General features: G+C 45.3%; 1 annotated feature.

Moving 5' to 3' along the window:
- Positions 724 to 773: a silencer, noted in NCBI's record as "silent region_21033". NCBI's record gives its function as "represses an Ori minimal core promoter by ATAC-STARR-seq in GM12878 lymphoblastoid cells {active_cell/tissue: GM12878}" and the evidence as "EXISTENCE:reporter gene assay evidence [ECO:0000049][PMID:35858748]".

Below are 9,822 nucleotides of genomic sequence, written 5' to 3'. Positions count from 1 at the left end.
CGATGTCTAAGTCTGACCAAACACCGGGTTTTCTAAAACGACAGCGCCTGCGCGCGAGCGGCACGCGGGCATCTTCCTGGCATCCGAGGAGATGGGGCTGCGCCTGGGGCCACCGGGTTACGTTTAGTGAGGAGTAGACTGCCCCTTTCTCCTCTCAGTGCTTCTCCAAACAAAAATGGTAGCGAAGGCAGCAGATGACAGTCGCGAGGGCGCTGCGAGATGGGGACTCGCACCTCGAGTTGAGTTAGGGGTGTGGGTGACCCCTGCTGAATCCTATCGCAGGCGCTGTTCTCTGGAGGAGACGGCGCCTTCGGGGGCAGGTGCCGCAAAGTCAAGAACCGACAGAGCCCCCCGGTTTTAGTAAACTTTTAGCTAAATAAATAAATAAACAAACAAGAAGCGGTCTCGGATCTGCGTCTTATGGGTCTGTGGGGGATGGTCAGGACACCCAGGAATGAAGATTGGGGTATGCGGCCGTGCCGAGGGATCTTCACAAACACCCTTGGTGGGGCGGGGAGAGCTGGGGCCGCGGGCACCCGCGCAGTGACAGCTCCTGGGCACTAGAGGGCGCCGTGCGCGCAGTTTGCCTTCGCCGCGAGCAGGGAAAGGGCGGGGTTAGGGGCCTCCCAGAGGGTGGGAGTAAGAGCGAGTCTACAAGCCCACTCCAACCTCCGCTAGTCGCCCGCACCGCCCGCGGGCCACCCCTGGGCGGCCCACGGGGAGGGGCTTGCACTTCTCGGGAACATCCGACCACATAATATCTGACGACAACTCAGCAAAACGCAAATGAAGGAGGGGGAAGCATCCATAACACCTACGGCAACTCAACCAAATGTCATTTTTAAACTGCTGAGGATGAGCAATTGCCGTCAGACCCCATCGTGCGGCACCTCACAATCACCCAGAGCTGGCGATGTCCGGAGGTATGCCCGCCTGGAAGATACTGAGGTCCCATACACCGCAGGGGGCTACCTGTATGGGACGCCACGGAACTGCACCATCATCATCACAATAGTACCTACTACTTGCCATCCGCTGCTGTGAGCACTTTCACACCAATCATTTGATCCTTAAAACAATGAGGTACTCTAGTTAGCCCCACTAGATAGTTCCCATGAGTTACTCTTGTTAGCCCCACTTTCCCCACTTACAGAAGGGGAAATTAAGGCTCAGAGGGGTTGTAGAACCTCTCAAGTTCACACGGAACCCATGTTCTTTTTACTTCCCAGCACTGCCTCACTGATGGGAAGCACAGCTGTCCACATGGTTGCTTATACACTTCTTCAAACCAGCAGGAAATATGGGAGCTAAAAATATGCATATGAGTTCATGAAAATAAAGCTGGCTCTAATCGGTGTTCACCTTGGAAACGTCCCCCCGCCCCCCAACCTTTCTCTGGTGTGCTTTGAATGCTGTATCTCAGGCTGGTTGAGGGAAGGAAGCCTTCTGCACTTGAGTTAGGAATTGATTGCACACACCAGGAGCTGCAGCGGCCCCAGACACCCAAAGCCTTTTCTTTCGGACTCGGGCATGGGCTTTCGCCAGGATTTGCAAGATCTGCTTTCTGTGCACAGAGGAACGAAAAGTGTCCAGTTGGCCCCGAGGTGTTACCAAGCACACTGGTACGAACTGCTGATGCTAGGGTCTTAGCTCCTCCCAGAAGTTCTCAGCCCACATCAGCTTCTTCTACCTCTGACCTCCCCCCAGCATTTGATGTATGAACCACCTTATAGCAACTTGCTTGCTTCCATCTCCTGTTCTCTGATTCTCTCCTGTGTGTCTGTCTCCCCAGTGGGCTGATGAGAACCACAGGAGCAGAAACCATGTCAGCATTGGGCACATAGCAGCTCTCAGAGAGTTGTGAAATTGAATTATGCTGCGTCTCTACTTAGAACATCTACCACTTTCCACCAAGTAAAAAAGATAGCCTTGTTTGCTTTTTTTCTGGTTTTTGAGCTTGTTTACTTCAAACAGTGAGGTCTGCTGACAGGTATAGTTTATAAAAAGACCACTGAATTTGTGAAAATGTGAATCATTTCCTTTGCACAGCGCAATGTTCATTTCATCCTCTCTTCATTTGCATCCCTGTTTCATCTCTCTTTTGCACCCGTGTTTTGATAACAGGTACTCACCTATGCTATAGGAAGCCAAATACAAAGTAATGGGGTTTGTTGTTTGTTTGCTTTTTTGTTTGTTTGTTTGTTTCTTGAGACGGACTCTCACTCTATCGCCCAGGCTAGAGTGCAGTGGCGTGATCTCGGCTCATCGCAACCTCTGCCGCCTGGGTTCAAGCGATTCTCCTGCCTCAGCCTCCCGAGTAGCTGAGATTATAGGCGCCTGCCACAGCGCCTGGCTAATTTTTGTATTTTTAGTAGAAACGGGGTTTCACCATCTTGGCCAGGCTGGTCTTGAACTCCTGACTTCGTGATCCACCTGCCTCGGCCTCCCAAAGTGCTGGGATTACAGGCGTGAGCCACCACGCCCGGCCAATACAAAGTAATGTTAAAAGGAAACACTGTCATCCAGCAGATTCCCATCTTCTCCATCAGTTGCTAGAATGTGCTTAGCCTGTTCTGTAGCAATCAGACCTGCTGGGCTAGATACCCCCCAACTCCCGCATAATGCAGTACCCAAACTGGCTGTTACTGGTAAGAAATGGAAAGATGGGTAATGAATGAGGGGGAGTAAGGGAGGATTAATGAGGAAACAAGAAGATAAAAGGCACAGTGTGGAGGGGATGATGTGGAGAAGAGACATTGGAAAGTCAGAAAGCAACAAGGCGTATGGATTTTACGGGATCCAATAACTGAGGAGACTGAGGGAAGTTATAGTAGTATGGATATAAGAAGTTGAGTATGGAGCTGTGTGCAGTGGCTCACGCCTGTAATCCCAGCACTTTGGTAGGCTGAGGCTGGTGGATCACTTGAGGTTGGGAGTTCGAGACTAGCCTGGCCAAAATGGTGAATCCCCATCTCTACTAAAAAAAAAAAAAAAAAAAAAAAAAATAGTGGGGCATTGTAGTGCATGCCTGTAATCCCCGTTACTCCAGAGGCTGAGGCAGGAGAATCACTTGAACCCAGGAGGCGGAGGTTGCAGTGAGCTGAGATTGCGCCACTGCACTCCAGCATGGGTGACAGAGCGAAACTCCATCTAAAAAAAATAAAAAATAAAAAAGAAGAAGTTCGGTACGAATATTACAGAACCCAAGAACTGGAGGGGCGGGACTCCTTGCTAGACCATGCTTACCACCCAAGTAGCTCCATCCAAAACACACACATATGCACAGATGTCATGATGATGGAGTTTCCAGATCCTCCCACCAGTCCAGAGTTTCCAGATCCTCCCCTCTGCACCCCTCACCAGCACCCCGAACCAATGCTGAGCTGCTACCTCGGCTTAAACATGAGTTCCTCAGGCTAGTTAGGTCCTTTGGATTGAAAGGGACAGAAAGTCTCATTCAGGCTGCATTCAGAAAGGGTCCACCTCGTGAATGAAAGAATCTAGTCAATGATGCCCAGTAGCTGCTAACATCACAAAAAGAGAGATGACCAGACATCATGCATCTCATGATGACACCGTTGCACATATCACCATTTCTGAAGGAGTCTTGCCAGAAGGCAAATGTGAATCTCATCAAGCCTTAACCCAACTACCAATTTACAGGAAATACAACTGACAGAGGAACACAGTAAAAGACATCACAGACATGCAATTAGCAAGATCCAGAATATGGGAAACTCTACAGAACAAATGGTCTCATTTCTTCAACAAATAGATTGGATAAAGAGAGAGAGAGAGATGGAGGAAGGGGAACATATAGATAAAAAATGCTTAAAATACATATCAACCAATCACAATATGTAGAGCTTATTTCGATCCTGGTTCTAACCAACTGTAAAACAAAAAATCCTACAGCATTTAAGAGATAATTGGAAATTTTAACATTCATTGGATTGTTTATGACATTAAAGATTTATTATTAATTATTTCACATGTGATAATGGTGTTGTGTTTGGCTTTTTAAAAGACTGCTGTGTTTAATGTAAAGGTACATACTGCAGTATTCACAGATGAAATGATATGATATCTGGGGTTTGCTTCAAACTGCTCTAGAAGTGAATATTTATAATAACATTGTTCATAATAGCCAAAAAGTAGAAACAACATAAATGTTCATCAACTGGTGAATGGATAGACAAAATGTGGTATATCCATACAATGAATTATTCAGCCATAAAAAAGAATGAAGCGTTGATAAATTCTATAATGTAGATGTACCTCAAAAACATTATGCTAAGTGTAAGAAGCTAGATGCACAAGATTACATGTTGTATTATTCCATTTCATGTAAAATGCCCAGAAAAGGTAAATCTGTAGAGACAGAGAGCAGATATGTGGTTGCCAGGGTCTCAGGATGGGAATGGGAGTGAAGGAAAATGGACACAGGGAATCTTTTCAACACGATAAAAATATTCTAAAACCGAATTGTGGTGATATTTGTGCAGCTCTGTAAAGTTACTAAAAGACATTGAGTTTTACACTTAGAAGGGGTGAATTTTATAGTATGCAAATTATGTCTCAATAAAGCTGTTTTGCTTTTAGTGCTCCAGAGGATAGGAGGAGTGGGTGGGAATTAAATGAAACGAGATTGCCCATGAGTCAGTAATCACTTAAGCTGGGTGATAAGAACATGGGGTTTGTTAAGCTATTGTCTTTAATTTTGCGTATGCTTGAAAATTTCAACAATAAAAAATAAAAATTAAAAACTGAGATGAGGGGCTTGGAAGTTGAAAGTCGTCAGGAACTAAGTCTTCTCTGGAGGCCTGCTTCTCTGTTTCTCCCCCTCATGTGCCTCTCATGATATCTCTACATCTCCTGCCCATTGCCTTCCCACAACCAACTGACCAAGCCTCTTGGCATTCTCTAGCCCAAATGCCAAGGCCACTGTTAGGCAAAACCCTTGGTGCCAGCCTAGGTAGGAACCAGATGTCCATTTCTGATCCAAACAGCCCACACCAAAATCAAAAACAAAACTCACAAACAATGATGTGACCCCAGTTTCCTGAGTAGATAGCTATGGAATTGGCTATTTCATCTAAAACCAAAAGTTAAGCACAGCAGACATTAGTATGCCCCATATAGCCCCTATTCCTACCATCCCTACCATCCATGGATCATAAAATGAGCCATATCATTTCTGGAAATGCCTCTGCTGGACATGGCTCCAGCAGTTGAATCTGAGACTGAGAGCATCACCTGCGAAACAAGAGCGAACAAAAGTGATGGAAAGTGTCCCCAGCCAGTATTGGATAGCAAAGATGCTAAGAGAGGTCTAAGAAGAAAGAAAGGAAGAAAAAAAAAACTTCTAGGCTGAGCATGGTGGCTCACACCTGCAATCCTAGCACTTTGAGAGGCCAAGGCGGGAGGACTGCTTGAGGCCAGGAGTTCAAGACCAACCTGACCAACATAGCGAGATCCCATCTCATAAAAAGAAAAAAAAAACCATATAATTTTTTAAAAAACAAAAACTTCAAAAGGAGCAGACCTGAGTCTGCCTACTTGTGGAGTGGCAAGTAAGTGATAGTGAGTGGATCATTAGCAGCAGTTCACCCCCGCCACCTCCGAAGTGATTGATATTAAACCGTTCCTGGGGTTATTTCCCCACGAGCGCATCCACAGCCACCCACAGAAACAGCATGTTGCCCTAGGCAAGGAAAGAGCTACATCTGAGCAAAGAAAGCTATTCAGCCTCCAAGCCCCATTGGTGTGTCCCACCTGAATACATGACTGGAAAAGTAGGACTCCTCCTGTCACAATTACACTACAGCTGTCACTCCTGCTCTTGGGATGGGCCAATACCAAGAGTAAATTCATGATGCCAAGTAGATGCCCAAGGCTGACACAATTAATTTCAATTAGCTGACCCCCCTCTTCCTCTGCCTACTGTCTCCAAAGGAGCTTTTCTCTAATGGTACCAGACTAGCCAAAGCTCTTTCACAAGCTCCATGTCTTAGATCGTCACTCTCCATAATTGTTCAAGGTGGTGTGTCCATCCAGCAGTCAACTCAGCTTAGCCTTTAGAAAGGACATTCTGTTGCAAAATGGACCAAGCCCAGTTATATTAAAGATGATCTGCCTACACCACACAACACCTCAGTGCTTTTTGCCCACTCCTTCAAATTTCCACTCTCTGGATCCCAACATCCCTCTCACATTTCTCCCACAGCTCCATGGCACCCACAGGAAATCATGACATCTCCATCAAGAAATAAGATACCAGGGCAAGAGAGGTTCCCCCTAAGAACATTCCCTCTCCTCTATTATTTATTTTTTCTTAGGCTCACTTCTTTTGTAGGCCACTGGCTTTCTAAGTCTATTCATTTCACCCTTATTCAGACTGCCACTTTGCATTTCAACATACTTCCCCCTCAAATAAGCATTTATCTTACTGTTCACTTGGCTGTTTTTAAATAGATTTTGGGGGTTATAATAGAAAGCAGTGGAATCTCCTTCCAATTTGCCAATGACAGAAGCACTTGCCAGCCATTCCATGTCCACCAGGAATCCTTCCACCAGAGAAAGCTCCTTGGCCTGAGAGGCTGTGAGAATCTGCTCGTTTGGCCCTCATTCCCTCTCCTTTTTAATTGTTGGTATGGCTTAGTATAACTTTTCAGCTATAGAATTAGTGTCCAAAAGCCAATGGCTCCTTCCAGAAACAATCAAGGCTCTGGATCAATTCTGGTGGTTTGTTGATCAACCACACTTGTTCTAGTCCATGAAGTCAGAGTATAACCAAGCTGCTGGGGAGGCCACTGAGATCAGCACAGGCTAGGAGCCATCTTCTAGAGCAAGGGTTTCTAACCAGCGTCCCTGGACTCCAGACTCTATGGATTGCCTTCATAGGTCCATGAACCCCTTGCAATTGAGTGTGTGTGTGTGTGTGTGTGCATCCGCATGCACGTATGCTATGCCCACTTTTCTATAGTTAGAGTTCCTAGCTTGTATCATCTTCCCAAAAAAGTCCCTAATCCAAACATAAACTAAAAAGGCAAAAATCACTATTCTCAAGAAACTCTAAGCTTGGTCAGCAGTGCTTCCCAGCGCATTGTGGAAAAAGTTAGAGAGCCAGAGTACAGGGCTGGCGTGGTGGAACTGGGAACTTTAGGACCCTTTTCTCCACAGCCAGATAGTCCCAGGCACCAACCCAGATATGAATCCAGAGCTCAGGTTTCAGATACTGGAGGGGTTCAAAAATGTTGCCGAGGGCTGAGTCAATCTGAATCTAACTCCTTACTTATGGGCAATAATGAACATTAACAAGGCGGTGATGCACACCGAACCACTGAGACCACATTTCTACATCCCCATCCCTCCCGTAAGCCAGATCCTTCATTAAAATGAGGAAACTGAATTGAATCCAGAGAAGGAAAAGGACCTACCTTCTATCGTACAGACTGAATGTTTGTGTTTCCCCGAAGTTCATGTGTTGAAATCCTAATCCCCAATGTGATGGTATGAGAAGGTCATTAGGAGGTCATTTGGAGGTCATTAGATCATGAGGGTTAGGCCCTCATGAATAGGTTTAGTGTTCTTATAAAAGAGACCCCAGAAAGCTCTCTATCTCTCTTCCCACCATGTAAGGATACAAAAAGAAGACAGAGGTCTGCAACCCAGAAGAGAATCCTCCCCAGAGCTCTGCCATGCTGGCACTGGGATCTCAGACTTCTAGCCTCCAGAACTGTGAGAGATGGATTTCTGTTGCTTATAAGTCTCCCAGTCTATGGTGCTTTTCAATAGTAGCCTAAACTGACTAAGGCAGTGACTGAGACAGGCTAAAAGCCAGATTCTCGAACACCATAGATGATCTCAAAGCACCCACTGGCTTTATCCATCCTCTTCCTGGGCTCCTATGGAATATGGAGGCCTATGATCAGTACTCATCAGGTTAATTGTGAATAAAGTCCTCAAAAATGCTGATCCCAGCACAACCAGGGCCAGCAACCCAGTGGGAAAGGGAAAGCCAAAGAAATCCACCACATGCTTATTTACTTCATTCTAGCAAATAGAACCTTGACCAAATGTAAACATTAGGAAAGAATTTGAAAGAAAGAGTTAAACAAACGAGTCAATAACCACAAGAGGCCTGTAGACAGTTTTAAAAAAACATCTTATAGACAATCCAGGGTATGCCGAGAGTCCAAAATCCCAGAAACGTGGAAACAATCATGTTTGAGCAACTAAATAGCCAAGTGAGACAGATGAGCAGTGTGAAAGGAGCTCAAGCAGAGGGAACATAGACACTCCCCACAAATAGAAAGTCAGAGGCAAACTAAAAATCAGGGAACACCAATGGAACTGGAGAAGAACCAGGCAAGGTACCTGAAAGCCAAAGCTTAGAGCCCATTGAGGTAGTCTAGGGAGAATGCCAGCAAGACAATCCATCAGTGGGAAAAATCAACAGCTGGGAAAGCGGCTCTGCTTGGCAGGCCAGGAAGTGAATGGATACCAAACTGGATATCACTGGGATGTCCATTTCTCACAGCTCATTGAAATTGTCCATGCACTGAACCAGATAGGGGCAAATGCTGTGGATGTCCAAGGCCTAAAGAATAGCCTAAATATGCACCCTTCACTAAGACTGAGGGCTAAAATATTCTCATGAAACTAGGTCAATAGATACAGCTTGTCCTTACCGAGGGCCCACATGACAAAGACTGGAACCTTGCCAATATGAGTTCCATTCATAAGATAGGTTTCTAAAGAGACTCTAGGGTACATGCTTGCAAACACGTGATTTTTGTAACAAAAGATGGGCTCAATGACCACTTGGACAACATTTTACACAAGTGGTAGTCATGCATGACCTATCTATCAAAAAGTTTTAAATGGTGAAAACACACATAAATAAAAAAGGGACCATGAAAACATAGTGCCAAATCACTATGGGATTGAGGTGTGGTTGTATCATGAATAAGCAACAGGCATAGGGACAGGGAACAGAGGAATAAACCTGATCTTCTCTAGGGAGAGAAGTGTAGACACTATGGCCTCCCATCAAAGACTGGTGGAGAGATATGTCTTATTTGACTTACTCAAAAATTATGTGGAAGAGAATAAGTCTAGTAAAAACTTCAGGTTTCCAGGCAACACCCAACCTTTCTGGGTAGTAGCATGTTAAGCTCTTTAGATTAAACTGCAGGAAGATGCTGAGAAGCTGTGTGAGTGGGCTGGAAAGTAGCAGGTGAGCATCAGTGTAGGCAAGTGTAACATAACGCACTGAGAAAAAGAATCCCATTAACCATTCAAAATAACACACCAAGCAATCAAGCCTCCTTTGTACAAATCCTCAGGACATCTGCATCAAAAAATGAAAGGGCAAATTTTGCTATTAGATCAACTGAGTAATATAGAGGTCATCCAGCTCAGACTCCTCCCTTGAGAGATGAGGATATGAAGATCTAGAGCCAGAACCAGGATTAGAACCCAGGCCAGAACACTTTGTTCAAGACCACAGTCCCTGGATGAGATTATCAGCCTTTAAGCATCAGCAGACAGACCAAGGGTCTTGGAAACAGTGGACGTAATGGAGGGATCATGGGTTGCCATGTCAGATATATTCAAATCCCAGCTCCTTTTCTAGCTATGTACAAGTTAAGCAAGTGTCTTCACCTCTGAGTCTCAGTTGCGTCAACTGTAAGATGGGAATCAGGACACACACTTTGCGAGGTTGCTATGAGGATGAGAAATATTTTTAAAGTGCTCTACCAAAGGATCTGAATAGATATTTCTCCAGAGAAGATGCACAAATGGCAACACACACAT

This window comes from Homo sapiens, chromosome X (assembly GCF_000001405.40).
Source record: "Homo sapiens chromosome X, GRCh38.p14 Primary Assembly".
Lineage (NCBI taxonomy): Eukaryota > Metazoa > Chordata > Mammalia > Primates > Hominidae > Homo > Homo sapiens.
Note: the sequence above shows the minus strand (reverse complement) of the source record. Positions and strands in the feature narration are given on the sequence as shown.